Source organism: Homo sapiens, chromosome 13 (genome assembly GCF_000001405.40).
Source record: "Homo sapiens chromosome 13, GRCh38.p14 Primary Assembly".
NCBI lineage: Eukaryota > Metazoa > Chordata > Mammalia > Primates > Hominidae > Homo > Homo sapiens.
In genome coordinates, this window is record NC_000013.11 from 26,495,467 (window position 1) to 26,520,019 (window position 24,553).

Below are 24,553 nucleotides of genomic sequence, written 5' to 3' on the forward strand. Positions count from 1 at the left end.
GTTCAAAATCACGTCATGTGAAGCAGATTTGATCTGATGAATGGGAATCTAGGCACGTTCCCTGTTGATGTAGTTATGGTTTCCCGTCCTTACGGCCAATACACATCCTCTGAGACCAGTCTATTATTTATGTTTTGTTCATATAAACAACCCCCCAACTTTCCTGTGTTCTGCACTAAATTACTTATTTTTTAGTAGCCATGGGCCCTGGTAGGAAGCTAACAAAACCCTCAAGTCAGATAATTGAGGGAAGCTTAATGAAGGGGCTATGCACGAAGATCCAGGCAGGGTTGAGGAAAACCAACAGGGTGAGGATGAAGATGCCACAGCTCCGCAGCTCACCCGCCCTAGAAGGACCAGGACCAGGAGCAGAATCCAGAGCTTGGAGAGGACAGCTGGAGGCAAGGCTGTCTGCCCTGAGCCAGGACCTGAGCCTCCCCAGCAGGGAGTGGGCTGGAGAATCTGTATTCCAGCCTCACTTCCTTCCCACCTGCAGATGCTGGCAGGGCCTCCCAACATAAGTCACAGAGCAAGAGAGCCTGATCGTTCCCAGGACACAGAGCAAAGTGGAGGAAGCTGCAAGATGGATCTGGGAGAGTGAAGAGAAGATACCCTAGCACAATCCCCTACTCCTCCCCCAAAATGAAATTAAAACAATGAAAACAGAAGCAAATGGAAAAAGCAAAGCAATAAAATAAATGAAATTATATATGTGTGTGTATATATAAAATACATGTTTTTTAAAAAATCAAAACAAAAAACACCCATCAAGAGGTCACAAACTGGAGGCCGGGCACGGTGGCTCACGCCTGTAATCCCAGCACTTTGGGGGCTGAGATGGGCAGATCACCTGAGGTCAGGAGTTCGAGACCAGCCTGACCGACATGGTAAAACCCCATCTGTACTAAAAATACAGATATTAGCTAGGTGTGGTGGCAGGTGTCTGTAGTTCCAGCTACTTGAGAGGCTGAGGCACGAGAATCACTTGAACCTGGGAGGCAGCGGTTGCAGTGAGCTGAGATCATGCCAGCCCGGGTGACAGAGTGACTCTGTCTCAAAAAAAAAAAAAAAAAAAAAAAAAGAGAGAGAAAAGAAAAAAGAAAAGAAAAAAAAAAAGAGGTCACAAACTGGCCCTCGAGCAGAAAATAGCCCCAAGACAATTTGATTTGGCCTGGTACTTGTCTTACAGACATTTGAACATTTGAATTTATTGCCAATATATAAACTTGGGAGGTTTTACATAGAAATCTGGATTTCCTGTGTTTCTTGAACAATCCAAAGATTCAATGGCCCCATAGTGGGAGCTGAGGGCCTGCTGCCCTCTGGAGGGAAGACAGAGAGCTGCAGCCTCCAGGCACTGTGGCGCCCGCCCCCGCCCTCCCACCTCTACTTGACTGATGTCTGCAAACTGCTGGGCCTGGGTAGGCAACTTAGACTTACACCGATCCAGAGAGGCCCATGCAACTGAGTAGAAACAGTAATTCTAAGCTCTCTGGTCACCAAAGCAAAGAGGGAAAAGGATAGGGTTCTTTATATTATAAAAGTAAGAATACCAATTCATCAGAAGAGGAAAGTTTTAATAGTTTCAGTTCTGAAAAATACCCATAGCAGAAAGGCACATCAGCTCTTTTTCTCCTACAACTTTTGATGCTCACGAGAAGCTCAGCCCAAGGCGGAGAGGAAATGGCTGTAGCAATGAAGACTGCAGAGTTCCTGCTATCAGCTGCTGCTCAAAACCCCTCAGTGGCTCCCCATTGCCCCGGAGCAATGATTCTCAACAGGGGGCAACTTCATCACCCAGGGGACACTGGGCAATGACTGGAGACGTTTTTGATTGTCATGACTGGGAGGCGCCACTGGTATGTTGTAAGCCCAGCCAGCAATGCTGCAGAACATCGCACAATGTACAGGACAGCCTCCTGCCCTGCCTCACAACAAACAATTATCCAGCCCCAGATGTAAGTAGTGCCAAAGCCAAGAAACCCTGCTCTAGAATCAAGTCCAGAATCTTATCCAACTTCCAAGATCTCCATTGCCTGGCTCCTGCTCCTATCAACCATCTCCTCCTTCAACCAACCCTGCTCCCCGACTCACACTTGGTCATTGGTTGCCCACTCCTTTTGTGCCATGTCCTATGTTTGGCCTTTTGAGTATGCTGTTTCTTCCATCTGAGACACAAACTCGTTCACCTTCATCACCTAGGGGCAGTCTATGTCCCTCAGGGATCATCATCTATATCCCTTAGACATCACTCCACTTCCTTAAGGGAGCCTGTCTCTGAAACCCCCAGGACACCCTGCAGGATGGTAATGACCACACTTTAGTGTCATCTCTGGACTAAGTCTGCGAGGGCAGGGAGCGGGGCTGTCTTGACTACTGAATCCCCAGTACCTGCATAGAACATGCACCCGATCTGGCCACACACCCTCTAATCTCGGTCCTCTAATAGTCTTAAATAAATAAAATCCAACTTCTACCAGAAGCTTTAGTTTTGTCTCCAAGATAACCAGCATGAATCAAGCAGCTCTGGGGAGAAAGCGGATGAGTTTGAGAGCTGCACTAGCTCACTTCCCAGCAAGCGCTGGCTCTGGCAAGCCCTTGCAATTCTACCTCCCACAAGAAAACATTTGGTTTACAGGTTGGTCTGACTTGGCTTTGGAATACCAAGAACACAATCAGTATAAGTACCATCCAGTGTTAGTCAGCACGGATTCACAGAAGTTCTCATTCTACATATTTATTAAGAAATCCATCAACCCACACTTTTCTAGACAGAGCAATTTCAGACACTTCCTGTCTCCAAGAAGTCATTGCTAATATTGAATTCCAATAGTATGCGAAACTGTGGCTGGCAGCCAATAAGAGATGCTTTAAACCCCAACTCTCCCTTGATAGCCCGGCAATTTGTGAGTAACTTATCAGGCAGCAGAATTCATGGAGCTCTGAAGGCTGGGCCTTTCCCCTCTGGTGGCAAGAACTGGGTGAAAATTGATAGCCCCAGTGGAGCCACTTTTGGAATCAAAGTTGCATCCATACTTGCCCTGAGTCCACAACAGAATATAATTTTTCCAGAAGACTTGTCCATATACCCCGAAGTGACATGGGGCAATGCGGGGACACATTTGCTTTCTCCAACTGGAAGGCAGGTGCCATTTCTAGACCTGACTAGCGCAAGGCAGGGTTGGAGGGGGTGCCAGTGCCAGCTAGCTCGGGCCCCTACCTGCTGCTGGACCTCAGGTCCTCGGGAGATAAGAAAGCCCATCTGCCCGCCCAGCATGGCCCCACTGTAATGAGTGCAGCAGGCGCCTTGTATTTCCTCTCTGCTGGGAACTTGTAATGTCTGTTGAATGCAACCAGAATCTCGAAAGTGAGGAGCCTTAGGGAGAGAGGGCCTCCAGCTGTAAATATTAACAGCAGCCGCGTGAAACGCAGTGTTTTCTGTTGACAGGTGTTCCCTGGGGGAGGGCCCCCGCAAAGAGTGACTACATCACCAGAGTCTTTCAGCACCCCTGACAGTAGACACGACAGTCCACAAAGAGGTGTAGAAATGACAGCTCTGTTAATATAATGACATTAAATGTGACTCACTATCAGGAGCAGGAAGCAGCAGCCATGATGTTTTTCTTTCTTTCCGTAGTAATGGTCTGAGCTGCTGGGCTGTGCACATTCTCTAGGAGTCAGTCTGCTGTGCAGTTAGCAATTGGTTTCACAGACTCGCAGGCTGTTACAGCTAGAAAAGAACTTTGAGGCCAATGCTCTATGAAGTGTTGCACAGACAGTGCAATTCAAACCCAGAGGGCCTGAGTGATTTTCCCAAAGAAAAACTAGGAGCTGGCAGGTTAAAAGCAGAGAGGAACTAAATTTTCTAGTCTAACCTGTTACCCTCTGTTCCCTGCCACCTCCCAACGCTGCTGGAAGGACACAGCCTGCCCTCTCCCGGGTGGTGCCTGTGCAGCAAGCCTGGGGCCTGAGTGTCAAAAGGTCTTTGGACACTTTGGGTTGGAATCCTGGCTCACTTAATCACCAACTATGTGACACTGGCCAATTATCTCATCTTCCCTTGTCCTCATCTTTAAGCAGGAACAATAATATGCCCCTCCCTGGGCCTTTGTGAAGACTAAATGAGATGTCCATGCACAGACATGCGTGGCCCACAGTAAGCACTCCAGATGTGTTGGTGAGACATGAGAGAACGTGTTTTGCACACATGCGTGTTTAGTGCATTTAGTGCCTAGTTTACATACAAGAAGAGAAATACAATAACATATTCAGCAGTTCTCAACCTGTCCTAATCTGATTTGCACCTTTATTTTATGTTAAGAAGATGCAGCAGGCGGAGCGTGGTGGCTCCCAGCACTTTGGGAGGCTGAAGCAGGTGGATCATGAGGTCAGGAGTTCAAGACCAGCCTGGCCAACATAGTGAAACTCCGTCTCTACTAAAAATACAAAACTTAGCCAGGCATGGTGGTGCATGCCTGTAGTCCCAGCTACTCAGGAGGCTGAGGCAGGAGAATTGCTTGAACCTAGGAGGTGGAGGTTGCGGTGAGCCAAGATCGCACCACTGCACTCCAGCCTGGGCAACAGAGTGAGACCACATCTCAATAAAAAGGTTGGGGGGAAGATGCAGCAAAGATAATCCCAGCACTTTGGGAGGCTGAGGCAGGTGGATCATTTGCAGCCAAGAGTTCGAGACCAGCCTGGCCAACATGATAAAACCCCATCTCTACTAAAAACATAAAAATTACCCGGGTGGTAGTGACGTGCGTCTGCAATCCCAGCTACTCGGGAGGCTGAGGCAGAAGAATCACTTGAACCTGGGAGGTGGAGGTTGTGGTGGGCCGAGATGGCACCACTGCACTCCAGTCTGGGTGAGAGAGTGAGACCCTGTCTCAAAAAAATAAATAAATAAAAATTTAAAAAGTTTAAAAAAACAGGGTTTCCTGCTGCAAATGATGTAGAGTGTCCTTTCAGGACACATACTATCCCATGAAGGGAGTGAAGTGGCCGTTTGGCTAAGGAAGTTTGCCAGTCTGCGCCATACTCTCCATTCTACTTTCCTGTGTCAGGCCTTGCCAGGGAAGGAGGGAGAACTGCCTGGCATTTCAGCAGAGGTGAGGTTCACAGCCCCTGGCAGTCACAGCTGATGCCTGGACCCCATAGAAGTGGCTGCAGGCAGGTAGGATGGCAGGCAAGATACGAAGGCCGTTCTGGGGGCTCCCTCCTTATATGTCTGGCGTGCAGGTCGGGGCTCAGCCCAGCCTCACGGGATCCCTTAGTCATTCCGGCCAACCAGATGCCCATTCCCCTTCTAGAAGATACCCAAACAGACGCCTTGGGTGTGAGCTGGTTTCCAGTGTGGCAGCCTGGGGTGGCTGACTCTCCTGGAGAGGAGCAGGCCCCTTAGCCTGGAGAGAAGGAGCCAGCCCTGGGCGAGGACAGAACCTGGATAGCGGCTGGGTGGGGTCCTGGTCTCAGCATCCTTCCACTTAGCACTGGATCCGTGGTAATGCCCTTGTCAGGAGGATGCAAAGGAGGAGCAAGAAGTACCCGGGCTGCAGTGCACACAACTGCCCGGCATGGGAGAATTCAGCCTTCTATCCTGTGGCTCTGCCTCGTGCCAGCTTCCTGCCTGCCGTTCTTTGCTCCCCAGTCAAGAGACAGGAAATGCAAAGGGCAAGACGGTTTGCAGGATAGCAGACAGCACTGCCAATGGTCTGTACATCCTGAGGCACTCAGGTTTTCTAGTGCCTGCAGGCTGCCCACATGCAGCCCATCCTGCCAGCCTCTTTCAGAGCTTTCTGAGCACAGGGTGACTGACCTGTGTGACTGGGAAGCCCAGCCATTTCCTCCCATCAAAACAGATGCCTGCGAAGGGACCATTGTCAAGGGGCCCAAGAGGTTTGTGGGGAGGGCGGCACCACATGCTCCCAGATGAAAGGCCTGACTGGGAGGGAGAAGGGAGCTGGTGGGTTCCCATTCTTAGATGAACAAACCATGCCTGAGATCATTCCCTAACCTTGATCTTGGCACATTTATTTCCATAGCCATTCAGTGAAGGAATTCCCAAGTCATTATAAACCATTCCTGATATTGAAATTGGGAGCAATGAGCATTTCCAGGCAGCCCAGCTTTCCCACTCAATGCATGTGGGGTGAGGGCTAATGAGCTTCCTGCCTCTTGACCTCCTGAACGAGCTGGAAGAACCGTGTGGGTGAGGGAAAGGGCACTCCCGGGCCTTTCATGCCTCTGCAGGCAAAACACCAGTGTCCACAACAATCCTGTCCTTCATCGATTATGCTGACAGTCATTTAAACGGGCTTTCTATAATAAAGCAGGGGAGGGCTAAGTAGGGAGCTGGGCCCATAGGATCTATCAATTCTACTTCCTCTGCAACTTGACATGAAATATAGATCATAGATCTCAGAGTGTACGATGGAAAAGGGCACTTTAATTCCCTCACTCCATTCACTAGGGAGGCAGGCATGGGAGACAGCAACCTACTCAAACAAGCAGCCACGGAGCTTGGCTTTCACATTTGTTTAATGCTGACTGATCGTTAGCTTTTCTAAGAATGTTTGCTATTTAAAAACACTTTTAAATAGTAAAAATTATTTCAGGGCTTGCTTGGAAGTGGGTAACTTGATTTTCTCAGCAAACAGCTAAGTCTGTTGGTCTCTAGTAAAAAAGTATATCTCTTCCTTACTCCAGGGTAAGTAATTCTGCCTCTGGGAATTTACCAAAGTAAATCAACCTCAATTCTGAAAAATCTACATTCATGACTATGTCTATTATAGCATTACTCATTAACATAAAAGCAGTGAACACTTTCAATATTCAACAATAGGATTATGGTTAAGTACACTGTAAAGAATATTATTCAGCCATTACAAATGATGAGAAGGCCAGGATTGGTGGTTCATGCCTGAAATCCCAGCACTTTGGGAGGCTGAGGCTGGCGAGTTCGAGACCAGCCTGGCCAACATGGTGAAACCCCATCTCCACTAAAAATGCAAAAAACTTAGCCGGGCATGATGGCGGGTGCCTGTACTCCCAGCTACTCAGGAGGCTTAGACATGAGAATTGCTTGAACCCAGAAGGCGGAGGTTGCAGTGAGCTGAGATCGTGCCACTGCACTCCAGCCTGGGTGACAGTGAGATTCTGTCTCAAAAATAAAATAAAAAACAAATGATGAGAAAATGCCAAAATCACTGAAAAAAAAATCAGGATATAAAGTCAAAAGTTATTAGTGCAACTTTACAGACATGAAAAAACCTGTTATAAAATTTGCTAAAACATTAACAGTGATTATATAGGCTAGCAGGGTCACGGATAATTTTTGTCTTTATTTTCAAAATTTTCAGTTACATAATTCTATTTTTATAACGGAAAAATATGAATATAACTTTCCAAATAAAAAAATGTTCTACTGACTCACTAAGACGCTTAGTTCTTCTGGACCTGGCAGGCAGCTCTCTGACATGAAAGAAGCCCACGTGCAGAGGATCTGGTAGTTGAGTTGACTCAGGGCAAGTCACTGATGAGGAGCTCACTGTGAATCGTGTGAAGCGGTTGCTATAACAGCTACTGCCTGCTAGGGGGTATGAATAAAAGCACGGTTTCTAGAACGCCTGCTGTTTCCTGCACTGGCTGGGTAGCGTGCTGACTTTCCCATCCAGAACTACCCGTTAAGACAGCCAGGAAGTAGATAAGGATGAGACGTCAGGGGTAGCGAGGACTCTGAGAATCACATCACACGGACTGGTTGAAGGAGACGGCACAAGTAGACTGGAAAAAGAAGATGTAGCAATGGCATGCCGGTTGTCCTCAAATATTAGGGAAACTGCAACCTTCTGTTGGCATTAACATCTGATCCCTCCTCACCAAGAAGTCAATATCTTTATCCAGGAGTGACTACAAGAAAGGTCTTTGCCTGGTCGTCTTCTCTATTTGTTGCCCTGGTTCTGCTTCCAATCCTGCGCCAGTTGGCAATGGAGTGCTACCTCCTTTATATCAGGGTTGATTTGCCAATTGTAGACAGAATTCTTCCTTTGTGATTGCTTAAATTGAGATATCAACTGTTAATTTCTCCTCAGTATTTCTATAAATATAGCTATGCTCTTTCTATGCTGCTGCTGCACAGATCCATGCTATGCTAGAATTTTTCACTCATTCGTGCCACAAATATTTGAATGAGCACTTACCACATGCCAGCCCCAACCTAGGCACTGAGATACTACAGTACACAGAGTAGACAAAATCTTTGCCTTCAGGAAGCTTCTGTTCCAGCGAGACAGGCCTAATAAATGTTTTTGAGTGTCTGCAGGGATTTGACTAATTTAATACTCATCCCAACCCACTGGGTAAGTACTGTCATTATCTGCATTTTACAATGAGGAAATGGAGGAACAAAGATGCTGAGCAACTTGTCCCAAGAGACCGACAGAAGGTCCTCCCTCTGCCCCACTAGGCTAGATTTGCCTCACTGGAGTGGGAGCTTCTGGAGGCCCACACGGCACAGACACAGCCTATGCTGTTCTGCTGCAACTGTCTGCTGTCTGGAAATTACTCCTCTCACTCTGCTGCAGTGAGGTGGGAGGTGTTAGAAGGATTGGGGTGTGAAAAGAATGACTTCAAAGTTCAGTACTACTTGAAAAACTGATTACTTCTGAATGACTTTCTGTGTTTCCTTATCCTACAGACGTTCTCAATGTAACATCCTCAGGCTTCCTTGGGCCAACTCACGACAATGCCAGGTACATTTCTTAGAGTAGAGATAACATATTTCTGTTAAAGTAATATATTTTCTTACATGTACCACACTTTGGGAATGTCCTAATCAACTGAGATAACCGCTACATACATTTACCAAAGTGTGTGCCGTGGTCCCAGGGTTTATAGCAGGAGGCACACTGACACTGCTGGAACACAAGGGACTGCTGTCTCCAAAGGCTGGAGCAGATTCTAATATGCGGGATTCAGATGCTGAGTGTTCACAGGTAGTGTAATGTTCATGGCAACTGTTACACTTATTAAATTACTGACTTCCTAAGGGCATGAATCTAATAGGAAACGTTAGATGCCCTGTTAATATTATGTTGCCTGCAAGCATTTGTATTGTTTTCTGATATTTGTTGTTTTCTAAGATTTTGAAAAAAATACTTAATTAGGAAGATAATTTTTTTTCCTGGCTCTAGTGTTAAATTAAGTGGGAAGGTATTCTATTTAGGATCCTCCCATAGAGCTATTTTTCTCTTAAGGGTTACATGCATTCCTTTGTTTTTAAAATTCACTTTAATATTAACGTATTAATTCAGTACTTATTGAGTGCCTGCCATGTGTCAGGTGTTTTTCTGGGCACTAGGAATCAGATAAATAAGGCAGACAAAGCCCCTCATGAAGCTTATACTTGCTGAGAGGGAGATAGCCAATAAAAAGAACACAGTAATTGTATGATACAATGTCAGTTGCTAATAACACTAGGGAGGAAAATAAGCCAGGCTAAGGAGAGAGAAAAGGAAAGGAGAAGGTGGTTTTACATGGGTCAAGAGGCAAAGCATCGCTGAGGAAGTGACCAGGTGCCATGATTTGAGTAATAGCAAGGGAACAAAGGCCACCTCCCCACCCACGTGCTGTGTGACTTGGGCAACTCCCATAATGCTTCTATATTCTCATCACTGAAATGGAGATAATCATAGTACTTATATCATAGGGTTTTTTTTAATTAATTATAGAGTTTTAAAATATTTTTTGAATTATCTTCCTTTCCTTGTCTGCCTACTTTTCTTAAAAACCTATGGTGAGACTGGGCATAGTGGCTCATGCCTATAATCCTAGCACTTTGGGAGGCCAAGGCGGGTGGATCACCTGAGGTCAGGAGTTTGAGACCAGCCTGGCCAACCTGGTGAAATCCCGTCTCTACTAAAAATACAAAAATTAGCCGAGCTTGGTGGCAGGTGCCTGTAATCCCAGCTACTCGGAAATCGGAGGCAGGAGAAATCTCTTGAACCCAGGAGGTTACTGGGAGCTCAGGGGTATATGGAAACTTTCTGTTAAATTTTGCTGTGAACTTAAAACTGCTCTAAGAAATAGTCTATTAATTTTAAAATATTAATTAACTCCCAAGATAAGGAGGGAAATGTCAATTTATTTTTATTTTTATTTTTATTTTTTGTGATGGAGTCTCTCTCTGTTGCCCAGGCTGGAGTGCAGGGGCGTGACCTTGGCTCACTGAAGCCTCCACCTCCTTGGTTTGAGTGATTCTCATGCCCCAGCCTCCTGAGTAGCTGGGATTACAGGTGTGCACCACCACACTCAGCTAATTTTTGTATTTTTAGTAGAGACGAGGTTTCACCATGTTGGCCAGCCTTGTCTCAAACTCCTGACCTCAAGTGATCCACCAGCCTTGGCCTCCCAAAGTGGTGGGATTACAGGTGTGAGCCGCTATGATCAGCCTCAAACAATATCTTGAAGGCTCAAAGTAGACAGAGGATTGGCGAGTAAGGGGTAAGGGAAATTGGCGATATAGGAAATTGCACCTAACTGTAGGGGGCAGGGATGCTGACAGAAGCCTGTCTGCTTCCCTCCCGTGCAAGGGGAATGGTGATAGCACCCACTCTCCCTTCGGTTGTAAGGGGTCTGTCTGCGTGGAGCATTTGGAACAGCGCCTGGCACGGAGGCAGCTCCCATGCATGCTATAGCTGTTTTACCGAGCAGGAACTTTCTGTTCCTCTCCTGAGGCCGTTTCTCAGTCTCTCCTGCTGTCTCTCCTGGAGAAGAAGTCCCTGATACACCCTGGGGGCTGGGCCCAGGTAGGGCCGGAGAGGCATAAGCCTGGCTTCCCAGAGCCCTGATGGCTGGGCCAGCGGTGGAGGCTAGGGATGGGTTCTCATCATTTCATCAGCTGACACTCACTTCTAACATCACTTCACCCCACCCCCAGTGGCACCTGGTGTCCCTGAGATCGCGTGTCCATCTCAGGATCTCCAGAAGGTGAGGGAAAAGGAAGCTAGAGCGTAACTCTGATTGTCTGACCTTTCCACGAACCGCCTGCTCTTGGCCCCAACCCTAACCCCCTTCGCCTTTCCAGGGACCTGAAGAGGCACCCCGAATCCTGGCCTTCTCTGCACTCTGGGTTGCATAGCAAGAATCATCTTGCTTCTTCAGCTGCCCCTCCCCCTTGAAACTCTTCATTTTGTGAATAAACAATCACCTATGTATATCAAAAACCCACACACACTAAGAAGGTGCCTCTTTGGAGATGCCTTGAGGCAGATTTCTCCTGCCTCCGATTTCCGAGTAGCTGGGATTACAGGCACCTGCCACCAAGCTAGGCTAATTTTTGTATTTTTAGTAGAGACGGGATTTCACCAGGTTGGCCAGGCTGGTCTCAAACTCCTGACCTCAGGTGATCCACCCGCCTTGGCCTCCCAAAGTGCTAGGATTATAGCACTTGGCCTTGCTGCCACCCCAGACCCTCATCTCCTTGTCCTCTGCACGGAACTATTTTGGTCGGATTTTGCTTCTTCTTGGCCTGTCCTATTCCCTAACCCGCCTTCAGAGGGACTGAGGTTTTAGATTTTCCCGCTCTGCTACATTTGTGTCTACTCATTTCATCTTCCAAATCTTGGTTGAAGTATTTTGTCTTCTCCTTCTGCCATGTTTCCTTCTTCTGAATTTGCGCTTAAAAAATCTTTTTTACTGTCATTTAGTAAAGTTTTGCAAAGTAATGGAGAAAAATGTGTTGCCAAACCAAACGTGAGTCTGCTCACCCAGTGATCGGAAAAAGCCAAACGCCAGCACTGGGATTTGCAGCAAGAGAAAGTGAGGAACTTCCTTAGCGCATGTTTGATTTCAGTCTCTCTGAGGTCTGTGAGACTGTGGTCAGCATTTTCCATTGGGCGAGGGTCCTGGTTTCTGAAAAACAACTCCAGGACATATGTCAAGAAGTTATCTTTAGTTTCTGTAGGGAACCAATCATCTTGTGACTCTGATTTATGTGGGTGGTTATTGTTGAAGTTATGATTATCTTCTTGTTTAGCAGGTTATTAATTTGCTTCCTCTGGTTGCAGGGTGTGCCTGGAATTTCCGTTAGAGATTCAAAATCTTTTCTTTATGTCCATGCTGGGGTGGAGGGGAGCCCAGCAGGGCCCTACAAGGGGATCCCTATTCTATGTCAAAATTTCCGGGAGATGGCCAGGCACAGTGGCTCACGCCTGTAATCCCAGCACTTTGGGAGGCCGAGGCGGGCAGATCACTTGAGGTAGGGAGTTCAAGAACAGCCTGACCAACATGGAGAAACCCTGTCTCTACTAAAAATACAAAATTAGCCAGGCGTAGTGGCGCATGCCTGTAATCCCAGCTACTTGGGAAGCTGAGGCAGGAAAATCACTTGAACCTGGGAGGCAGAGGTTGCAGTGAGCCGAGATCGTGCCATTGCACTCCAGCCTGGTTAACAAGAGCAAAACTCCATCTCAAAAAAGAAAAAAAATTCCAGGAGATTTCATTCTTGCTCTTTCATTCTCTCTTGAACACCTTATAAACTGTAAAATATAACTCGCTGAAAAATACACAAAGCTTGTGTGCATAGTTCACACCTAAATCCCAAACACCCAAGAACCATCATCCAAGGTCCAGATGCAGAACATGATTGGTCTTCCGGGGTCCCCACTTGTCCCTGGCCAATCACAGCCACCTCCCGCTGAGGGCACATGTGGAAGGAAGCCGCTGATGGGCACATAGGACTCTGAGCTACTCTTTTTTTTTTGTCTTTTCTTTTTTTTTTTTTTTTTGAGACGGAGTCTTGCTATGTTGCCTGGGCTGGAGTGCAGTTGCGCGATCTTGGCTCACTGCAACCTCCGCCTCCTGGGTTCAAGCAATCCTCCTGCCTCAGCTTCCCTAATAGCTGGGATTACAGGCATGCGCCACCACACCTGGCTCATTTTCGTGTTTTTAGTAGAGACATAATTTCACCATGTTCACCAGGCTAGTCTCGAACTCCTGACCTCAAGTGATCCTCCTGCCTCGGCCTCTCAAAGTGCTGGGATTACAGGCGTGAGCCACCGCACCCGGCCAACTCTGAGCTACTCTTATAATTTCATGTATGTTTATAATTATTTCCAAATAAAAAGTTTAAAATATATGTATGTAATATGTGACATGTGCATCAAAATGTGATTTGATTTTTATACGCTTTTTGAGAGTTAACACACAGCAGTCCCTCTTTTCCTGGGTTTTGGGGGACACTTCAAGGCTCCCATTGGATGCCTGAAACCATGTATGGTACTGAACCCTATGTGTCCTCTGCATGAATTTCTTTTTCCTTCTTCACAATTTCACAGATAGATCTGTTCTTATCATAGATCTTAGCAACCTCAGCATAGGATTTTTTTCTTTCCTTATTAGGTTGAGAATGTTTACCTTTTCACTTAAAGGGAGTACCTTATGGCTTCTCTTTGGCATGTCCAATTTGCCAGCACATCATTACTCTTGTGCTTTGGGGCCATTATTAAGTAAAATAAGGGTTCCTTGACATGAGCAACATGATATTGCAACAGTTGATCCTAAATGACTCACAGACAGGGCGCGTAGCCAGCGTGGATCTGCCGGACAAAGGGAGCCAGGTCCTGTGAGGGATGGAGTGAGATTTCATCATGCTATTCAGAATGGTGTGCAATTGAAAACTTGTTTATTTCTGGGATTTTCCATTTAATATTTTCAGACTGAAGTGGACCACAAGTAACTGAAACCATGGAAAGTGAAACTGAGGATAAAGGAGGCTCCCATAAATTCACAAGCCAGAAGAGTCATTTGGAAAGGCAAGTGTGTCCTTTGTGCTTCTTCTTTGGAAAATATGATCACCACGGGATTTTTTTGTTTGTTTGTTTTGTTTTTGTCTTTGTTTTAGATGGAATCTTGCTCTGTTGCCCAGGCTGGAGTGCAATGGCATGATCTCCACTCACTGCAACCTCAATTAAAACTAAAAAAAATCAAAGTCAAAAATAACGTTTCAGTTTCTAATGCCCCTAAAAACTGTGTAGTAAATTGTAAAAAAAAGAAACTCAGAGACCGGTGCCCATGCAGGTCCTCTGTATACTAAACGCCGGTCTCCTGGGCCCACTGTTCTTTCTCTATACTTTGTCTCTGTGTCTTATTTCTTTTCTCAGTCTCTTGTCCCACCTGACGAAAATACCCACAGGTGTGGAGGGACAGGCCACCCCTTCATCTGCCGCCCAACGTGGGTGCCTTTCTCTAAGGTGAAGTTACGCTAAGAAGGTGAGCATGAAAGACAAGTCAACGAAAGAGTCCCAAGTACGTCCATGGTCAGCCTTGCGGTAAGCTTGTGTGCAGGGAGGAACCCTGGGTAACAATGGGAGAAAATGAAAGTAAATAGGCCTCTTATCTCAGCTTAATTAAAATTATTTTAAGAAGAGAGGGAGTTGGAGCCTCTACAGAAAATCTAATTACGCTATTTCAAACAGCAGAAGATAGCGTTTCAGTTTCTGATGCCCCTTATAACTGTGTAATAGATTGTGAAGAAAAGGCAGGGACAGAATCTGGGAAAGGAACAGAAAGTTCACATTGTAAATATGTAGCAGAGTCTGTAATGGCTTGGTCAACACAAAATGTTGACTACAATCAATTACAGGAGGTAATATATCCTGAATGTCAGACAGTTGGATGCATAATGAATGATTTTTACATATTTTTAATTACCTTACTGTCATCTGCGTGGGGTTGGGGAAGAAGAAGGGATTAAAACTAGATGGTGCTTAATGTGCCACATTCAAGTAGAAGGTAAATGAATCCTATTGTTTTTTTTTTTACTAAAATTTTTCTCTTAACATTGAATATGGATTCTCTAGGAAGAGAAAGCAACCCTCTGTAGGTTGAGTTCAAACCCTGTGAGCAAGTGTTAGATGTGGACGGACCCAGGGCCTCCTGGAGCTTTCGGTCTGGGGTGCTTTAGCAGTGCTTCCAGAAATGCTTAGGGTCCAGGCCGGGCATGGTGGCTCACTCCTGTAATCCCAGCACTTTGGGAGGCTGAGGCGGGTGGATCACCTGAGGTCAGGAGCTCAAGACCAGCCTGGCCAACATGGTGAAACCCTGTCTCTCCTAAAAAAAAAAAAATACAAAAATTAGCTGGGCATGGTGGTGCACACTTGTAATCCCAGCCACTTGGGAAGCTGAGGCAAGAGAATCACTTGAACCCCAGAGGTCAAGGTTGCAGTGAGCTGAGATTGTGCCACTGCACTCCAGCCTGGGTAACAGAGGGAGACTCTGTCTCAAAAAAAAAAAAAAAAAAAAAAAAAAAGAAATGCTCAGGGTCCACCTTTGGGGCAGCCACGACTTCCCAGGGTGCCAGCTTGCAGTGTCATGCTCCCCACCTACAGGCTCACAAAAATCCTGTGATGGGCTGGACTGTGTTCCCAAAGTCCTAACCCGTTTCTCAGAGTGTGGTCTTGTTTGGAGATACGGTCTTTACAGAGGTAATCAAGTTGCAATGAGGTCATTAGGGTAGACCCTAATCCTACACGACACGCATCCTTATGAAAGGGGAATATGTGGACACAAGCACAGAGGGAAGACAGAGTGAAAACACAGGGAGAGGCTGGGTGTGGTGGCTCACTCCAGTAATCCCAGCACTTTGGGAGGCCAAGGCAGGAGGATCTCTTGAAGCCAGGAGTTTGAGACCAGCCTGGGCTACACAGGGAGACCTTGACTCTATAACAAATTTAAAAATTAGCCAGGCATGGTGGTGCATGCCTTTAGTTCCAACTACTTGGGAGGCTGAGGCAGGGGGATCACTTGAACCTGGGGGATCGAGGCTGCAGTGAGTCGTGTTCGTGCCAATGCACTCCATCCTGGGTGACAGAGTGAGACCTTGTCTCAAACACACACACGCATGGACACACACATACACACACGGAGAATGCCAGAAGACACCTGAGGCTCCCAGAAACTAGCAGAGAGACATGAAGGGATCCTCCCCTGGGGGTTTTAGAGGAAGCAAGGCCCTGCAGACACCTTAATTTTGGACTTCTAGCCTCCAGACTAGATAATAAATTGACCTAAGTCACCCAGCTGCAGTACTTTGCTATTGCAGCCCCTAGACTAATAGAAACCTCCACTGCTGGAAATTTTACATGATGAATTTCCTAAAATAAGGCTTGTTGGTTCCCAGTTTGAAGACCAGATTGAAGAGTTTTGTTTTGTTTTAATAGCATTGGCTTTTAAAAGATAAACATGAACTAGACCCTCCTGTCTGGAGAATTCCCTATCATTTTGACTAAAGCAAGGGTTTTTTTTTGTTCTTTTTTTTTCACACTTTTGGATAAAAGGGGAAGAAATGACAGGTATTTAAATATCAAGGTCTCTTTCCTCCTGGGCTTTGAAGAGGAAGAAAAGCAGCTTAATTGGCTCTGGACCGTCTGGGGGTGGTGGGTGGGTGATCTGATGTTCTTTTTAAAAAGATGGATGAAACAAGGAAATTTTTCTCATCTTGAAATGCAACTCCCTGGGTCTCTAGTTTTAAAGGAGCCTTCCCAGGTATCTCTCATGCTTCCTGAGAGCTCCACAAGGCTTTCTCATCTGCCTTCTGTGGCCAGCTGGCAGGACTCATGTGATCTTCTTTAGCCGAGAGCAGGGACTCAAGGAGGACAGCTCTCTCTTGCTTCCCTGAGCTCACTTTCTGCAGTTCCATCTCCTCCACCTTTTTAGGATTTTCACCTTTCAAGAGATATCAGAATCTCAAGGAAGTTTGGAAGAAAAATGTGCATTCCTTTGTGCTTGCCACAGCATCTCTAACCCTCGAGGGGGTTAGTCTCTGTCCATCCTTGACTCAGGCAGGCTGTGTGACCTCTCTCTAGCCTCAGCCTTCACGCGGAATCATGTGTGAAGTGTCATTAGCTCTTGATGGCCTGGCTCCTCAATTCAGTCATCTATGCCAAGTCATCTATGGCAGTTGTAGCAGTGCCTAACCCTGGAATTTGAAAGAGATGGAAACATTTTGACTCTTTAACTGTTGGTGTCTTTTCCATTAGAAACTCTAGGCCATAAAATTTGCTTCATTTGGGGTTATTTTTATTTTTATTTTTTTGAAACAGATTCTCAGCCTGTCACCCAGGCTGGAGTGCATTGGTGTGATCTCTGCTCACTGCAACCTCTGCCTCCTGGGTTCAAGTGATTCTCCTGCCTCAGCCTTCTGAGTAGCTAGGATTCCAGGCGTGCACCACTACACCCGGCTAATCTTTGTATTTTTAGTAGAGATGGGGGTTTCACTATTTTGGCCAGGCTGGTCTCGAACTCCTGACCTGAAGTGATTGTCAGGCCTCTGAGCCCAGGCCTGCACGTATACATCCAGACAGCCTGAAGCAAGTGAAGAATCACAAAAGAAGTGAAAATGGCCGGTTCCTGCCTTAACTGATGACATTACCTTGTGAAATTTCTTTTCCTGGCTCAGAAGCTCCCCCATTGAGCACCTTGTGACCCCCGCCCCTGCCCGCCAGAGAACAACCCCCTTTGACTGTAATTTTCCACTACCTACCCAAATCCTATAAAACGGCCCCACCCCTGTCTCCCCTGGCTGACTCACTTTTCGGTCTCAGCCCGCCTGCACCCAGGTGAAATAAACAGCCTTGTTGCTCACAGACGCGCGTGACAGCGATCCTGCCCCCTTGGCCTCCCAAAGTGCTGGGATTACAGGCATGAGCCACAGCGCCCAGCCTGTTTGGGTATTTTTTAAATGCCAAGTTATTTTGTGCCCTGACACATTTCAGGCCACCTCTCTGCCCACATAATTTTATGATTATATGACCGCATTTACTGATAAAAAACGACCACCAAAAATATCTCCTTTTCACCTTGGCTTAATTTAAGACTGTCACTGAAGCATTTGATGATAATGTCTTAGGCATCTAAAATGGCAAAATTGCAGGCCTGTGGACAAATTAACAATTCTTCTTTGGTTCTTGCATTGGAGGTTCTGATACTTCAAAACATAGACTCCTTTATGATTTGTATTAAAGGGAGAGCACTATAGGAGGAAAGAATCAGAGTAACAATGCTGTTATCGAAAATCACAAACCTTTTTGGAATTGCATTTGATGCAAAATTATAGACTGTCTTCAACTTCCTTTTTGCAGCTGTGAGTTGTTTAGTATTTAACCATGCAACCTTAAATTACAGAGAAGATGGGGGAAAAAAATCTCTGTTCAGGGCGTTGTCTCCACTCATCTTTGTAGATATCTTGGTGTGAACATAGCGTAATATTCCCATTAATTGTTATATAGACTAATTCTAACACTGACTTCTAGGTTCTTTGTGTAGTTTTGACAGTGGTATATTCATAAAATGGAAAATCTGGAAATTTTTCAAAGCTGAAATAAAACGGCAAGGATTTGGAACTAAAATCAAGGGTTTAACCTTTAAAAGAAATCAACTTAATTGTAAATTTCACTTCAAACATTTCCCGGGATCTGGAGAAGGCAAACTGCAGAAAGGTCAGCCAGATTGCAGTTGGGCAGAAAATCTCATTTAAACTGTATTATCACAACCAAAAAGCCCTATTTGGAAATCAGACGTAAATAATGCCAAGCAATCAGGGAGGTAGGAAGGACGGGTGGATCTCAGTGCCTGCCCCAGCCCCTGACTGCCTCTGACGAGAGGTGGACATCTGTTCTGCTCCGGGGGCAGAGGCAGGAGTATGGAGCTGTACTGCTGCTTTCATCACCCAATAGCCGGTGGCCTTAGAAAAAAGCAAATTAATTTTGGAGGCTTCAGTTCCCTCATCTGTAAAAAGAATGGGTGAAAAGAGATGATCTTTAAGGTTCCTTCCAGTTCAAAAAAGTTCTGATTCCAGGTCATTTTCTGATTCGCTGACATTGGTTCCTTATAGGAAGCCATCAAGGAAGAAATGAAATGTGAGCAGTGGCATGAACATTTGGTTCGAGAGTTTCTGGGATATTCTTGGCTGAAAACTGGTGTAACTGATGACTTACAGATAAGTGAGAAGAAAGCACCGTTAAAAGGATGGATTAGGCCAGGGGTGGTGGCTCACGCCTGTAATCCCAGCACTTTGCGAGGCTGAGGCGGACAGATCACATGAGGTCAGGAGTTCAAGACCGGCCTGGCCAACATGTTGAAACCCAGCCTCTACTAAAAATTTTAAAAAATTAGCAAGGCATGGTGGCACATGCCTGTATTCCCAGCTACTCAGGAGGCTGAGGGAGGAGAATCGCTTGAACCCGGGAGGCAAGGGTGCAGTGAGCTGAGATTGTGCCACTGCACTCCAGCCTGGGCAACAGAGCAAGACTTTGTCTCAAAAAAAAAAGTGGGGGAGGGTGGATTAAAATTCTGCTCTGCCATTTCCTTCTTTGTGCTGATACATACAAATAAAGTAAAACACCTAGCATCAGATCAGGTACCTTGGAGGTAAACCCCACATAGAAGCTATGGATGATGTTGAAATTTGGCCACCCATTGAAGCAGGATGAGTGCATGTACAGAAGAACACCCGAGAGGCAGAACTGCTGAAATAGCCTAAAACCTTTAGGCTACTGTGAGAGGCCACTGTGAACTATCGAGGCAGCTACAAAGAGAAACAGCCTAGGTGGTTGCTTTAGAAGGACGATTCCTTCTACCAGGTGGAACAGTAGTGGGACAGGTCACCAAGCTGGGGACACTCAGCCTGCAGTGGTCTATCCTTAAACCATGTGGCCCTGAGAATTAGTCCTGGAAATTCCCTTCAAGTCAGTGGTGATGAGAATCACACAAATAACTATACCAAGAAAGCCAAGGTCAACACAAAGTAGAAAAGTCCTAGGAATGGAGCCTCAGGTGTCAGTCTTGGAAAGAGACAGGGCAGGGTCCGAGGAAGAGCTGCAGAGGAAACATAAATCAATGAAGTGGCCTCAGACAGGCCAGGATGGCTCCTGGCTTGTATTGGACTCTTAATACATATTTATTCATTGACGGGCTCAATGGATGGATAGATGTTGTGCCTGAAGTTAAAGAGGCACGAGGGACAAAGGAGTGTGAAAAATGGCAGAATCCATGTCTGAAAAAGCTCTGTTTTCTTCTGCCCTGGTTATTTTTTGGTTCCTCACCTCCTTTCCTGTCTGAGGACTGTCTCAGGCATTCCCAAACCCGAGCAAACCCCAGAGATTTCCTGAGTAGGACCTTGCAGCCTTTGACAGTAACGCACGGTAGCAGTTGTCATTGTGTCTTACTCAATCTCCCTGTCTCTTTTTGTTCTCATTGCTCTTTCCGTAGTCCAGCTCTCTGACTACTCTGACATTCTGGCCCAATGGCCTCCTCATGGTCCACTCCAGCATAAGCCATTTGATCATTTAGCATTCCACAGGCTTTCCAAAATACTTTCCAGGCCTCTGCACTGTGCCTCAGTTAAAACCCCAGTTGCTTTGTTTGACATGCCACCATTTGTCCTGGTATGACATTCCAAGCATGCTTTCTACTTTCCTCCAGGAACCTTCCGGGGCAGCCCAAACTTTTTGCCCTCAGCCTCCACTGTCATCCCCACCCCACTCACTGGTGCATATGAGCTCATGCATTTCCTTTGTCCGCAATGACCTTGGCTCATCCATCCATCTATCCAGCCGCTCACCCATCATGAGCTTCCTACCAGCCATCAAGTGCTGGTCAGTATGTGCTCATATCCCTGCACATCCCTGTCCATACCCCCATCTCACTTCTTTCTGGGCTCTTTTCATGTACTAATTCTTGTTTGGTGATTGTACCAGCAATCCCAACCAGATAACAAGCACCTCGGGGGAAGGATGATGTCCTGTGTTCCCTTCCTGGCGCTATCTGATGAACAGAAACATTAAGGAGACCTCTGGGGGACTTGTGGATTGACAAAGTCATTTTCAATAAGTTTTGTTAGTTAAAGTAAAGGCAAGCTAACTTTCTGAAGGCTATCTAAAAATAGAATTTTAAAACCAGCATTCCCATCTGAGTAATAAATTCAATTAGATTTTTGGATTTAAAAAAAAAATGTGATATTGGTTTTTCATTTCTTCTGCTAGTTGTTTCCAGGCAACCTTGAACTTGTCAAATAAAAAAGTATAAACAGAAGACTATGAGTTTTATGACCTTACTTTGAAAATCCTGCCCTCGGCAGGCTAAACACACTCTCAGCATTATGACTAGACATTTCTTAAAGGCCAGCCCCTAGGTTTTTCTTGGGGGATTTTAGGATGAAAACATAGGATGTGGAGTTATATACTCCAAATAATTTGAATCCTGACTTTATCGTTGTGAGATTGGAATAAATCATTTAAACTTTCTGACCTTTGGTTTCTTAAATTCTGAAATAGGCATCATCCCCCAACCTGCCTACCTTACAGTGAGGTGACTGAAGAACAAAGATGACCTTTGTCATCGTCTTTGTCCATCATCACCATCATCCATATCATCTCTAGAATTAATATAAAAAAGGCAGAGAAGGAGAGGCAGATCCCTGGACTTCATGCCTGGCTGGGAATGTAGGAGCAAGCCCCCAGCTCCTGCCAGGGTCAGCACACGAGCAGCCATGGCCAGTTCCTGAGGCACAGCCACCCCATGCAAAGGTCTGCATCCCAGAGGCACCTCTACGCAGCCAGAATCAATTTGCCTGTACTTTCTTGCCTTCCAGCTCCTTAATCCTTGGCCCAGGATGGCTCACTTCAACCCATCACCTGCTTTGGCTCTGGGCCCCAAGCTTCCTGAAGGGCCCAGTCTTTTCCAGCTGCTGGGACCAGTTTGGGGTAACCCTTACAGCAATGGGAATGGCAGTTCCAGCTCCAGGCTGGGGTAAATCAAGGAAGCCTTTGCTGTTTGTTCTGAGCTTGGTTTTCAGCTCCCAAGAGCTGCATGTGATAGCTCCCCTCTCCCTGTTAACACAGTGGAGGAACAATTATCTTCCTGGTGAAAATTGTTGGGACTGTCTTCCCTTCTCTGTTTGCAGGCAGCACCAAGTTGGGACGAATGAAATAAGAACGTGAGGGAGAACAGCCCGGGCTGTTCGCTTTCACAAACCCCTCGGGTCTTCAGACTAATTCTGAAGATCACCAGGAGACAATTTCTAAATGAAGAAAGGGAACACTGGGCTTATTAAAAAGCCTCCTCCTTCTTGCAGAGTAGAAGGATCCTTCTATCTCACCAGAAAATATGCCATTTCATAAGAAACCTAAATTGTTTTTTCTATGGTGACAAAATGAAATGTTCCTTTGTCAAGAATGAGCAAGCCTCAGAAAAGAGAGCCCCTCCCTGCCCAGCCATGAGGAGCGATTTTGCTACAATTTCTGTCCATTTTAAGATCAATGCAAATTACTCAAGTGATTTGAGAGCAGTCGTGGAGGGCAATTCTTTTGGGAGAGATTTTCAAATTGTGTTTTAAGTCCTCGAGGCCGGTTCCCAAGACAGAACTGGACCTTCTCAATGACCGGGACCTTGTTATTCTGGAATAACATGTTATTATGGGACATCATTATGCTTCATCCTGACCCCATGAAGTTTATGAGACAGGCCCAATTATTGAGCCATATGGCAAAGAGAAATTTGGGTAAACAAATTTGTATTTCAATAAAATTTAGAGTCCCATAAAATATAATAATTAAGATGTACATGACAGCAGGTGCGCTTGCTTAAAGCTGCCTTCGCAGCTCACCAGATGGTGTGCCCTGGGTGATTCATGTTCCAGGAGCAGAGAATTTTCAGGCAGGTAATCTTTGCAATATTCTCTTTTGTCCATTTTTCTTTTGGGCAGTATTTCTGATTCATTGTATCACCCCTTCCAATCAGCTTTGTTTTAGAGAATTTCTTAGGGCATGCCTCTAGTAACACAGTGTATTGAAGGGTTTTTTCCTTGATTTTGTTTTTTATTTCCTTCTTAACTCACATGAATTCTCTTCTCCAGGATTGGAAGGGAAAAAGCAAAAAGAATGCTTTCCCCACATAATGCCCCCCATCTCTGCTTTGAATGGCAAATACCAAGAGCAGCTTTGCTGTGTAAAATGTTTTCCCACCTTTGCCGGGGAGGTTAGAGTTAAATTAAAGGAACAGTAGCTATTTTTCCCACTACAAGGCAGAATGGGGGAGGGGAGCACCAATTAGCTTTTTCTTCTTTACATTCACCCTATCCTCAATCTGCCTTTTCTTCTTCACTTCTTGGCCTCTCCTTTCTCCCCAGGAGCAGCAGCCCAAAGCTACTGGAGGAGAGAAGAAGGGAGGAGGAAGCGTCTGGGCATGAGAGCAGCAGGAGTTGAGGTTACAGAGCTGTCGAAATCTCTCCTGCCTGGACCAAAGGTGCTTAAATACTTGGAACACTTGAAAGTAAAAGAAATCCCAACTCTAAGCCTCTTTGCATCACGTGAATGTCATTTTTTTTACTTTCCTTCAAACACACACACACGGTAGCCTGCAGCCTTGCTTTGAGCAGCCTTTTTCTTAAGGTAGCACTAACCAGCAGGGAGATGTTAGGAGATTGAGATTCCAATTAAGGCTGCCTCTGATTGCACTAGACAAGTCTCTGCTACTTAGAAAACAAGGCTGAAAAATCCCAGATTAAGGTTGTAGAGGATAGCATGGATCAGAACCAAGGAGCTCACAAAAGCCCACTTACCATGAAAATTATATGAAATGGGAGCCATTAAAAATAAAAATATTCAACAGGAACACTGCTGGCTAAATCACAAATTAAGATGTAGCACAGGTCAAATGGTGGTTCCCAAACTTTACAGCTATGCCTGGTTAAAAAGATGTAGAACCATCACGGGCCATGAGGATGAGGGTGGGGGTTAAGGGTACGTAGAATATTCCCTTAAACCAGCAGTGTTTGGCCAGGCACGCTTACTAGGTGGCTCACACCTGTAATCCCAACACTTTCGGAGGTGGAAGCAGGTGGATCACTAGAGGTCAGGAGTTCGAGACCAGCCTTGCCAATATGGCAAAACCCTATCTCTACTAAAAATTCAAAAATAAGCCGGGCATAGTGGTGCATGCCTGTAATCCTAGCTACTTGGCAGGCTGAGGCAGGAGAATCACTTGAACCCAGAAGGCAGAGGTTGCAGTGAGCCGAGATTGCACCACGGCATTCCAGCCTGGGTGAAAGAGTGAGACTCTGTCTCAAAAAAACAAAACCCTAGTAGTGTTCAGTGGCTCTACCAGACAAAATGAAGCCAGTGTTCTTCCGTCTGAAGAGCGAGAGATGGCGTTTGCTTTTCCATTTGTGGGGACAGGCAGAGTCTGACGTCCATCTGGAATACTCTTCTTCCTTCCTCCCAGTGGCTGCTCTGCAGGCCAAACCTGGGGTTCAGGCTTTGGCCATGAAACTTAGCAACCTGAATATGCATTTAATGTCTGACATTATTCTAGTTAGTATGAGAGAGACAAGCCAGACAGATGATTAGAGAAGTAATCCAATCAATGTTGGGTGAAATTAAATGAGTACAGGAATGAATGAATACTTAAATGAATGACTGCCACTTTACCAGTGGTCTGGTTCCTGCCGAGTTGGGGCTTCACATCTAACTGAGAAGCCAAGATAAACATGCATGAC

The 24,553-nt window shown here is 45.8% G+C and overlaps 2 annotated features.

The window, feature by feature from the left end:
• Window positions 1,244-1,413: a silencer, noted in NCBI's record as "silent region_5187". NCBI's record gives its function as "represses an Ori minimal core promoter by ATAC-STARR-seq in GM12878 lymphoblastoid cells {active_cell/tissue: GM12878}" and the evidence as "EXISTENCE:reporter gene assay evidence [ECO:0000049][PMID:35858748]".
• Window positions 5,554-6,054: an enhancer, noted in NCBI's record as "H3K4me1 hESC enhancer chr13:27075157-27075657 (GRCh37/hg19 assembly coordinates)". NCBI's record gives its function as "activates a minimal SCP1, AML or CMV promoter by ChIP-STARR-seq in primed H9 embryonic stem cells {active_cell/tissue: H9 hESC(primed)}" and the evidence as "EXISTENCE:reporter gene assay evidence [ECO:0000049][PMID:30033119]".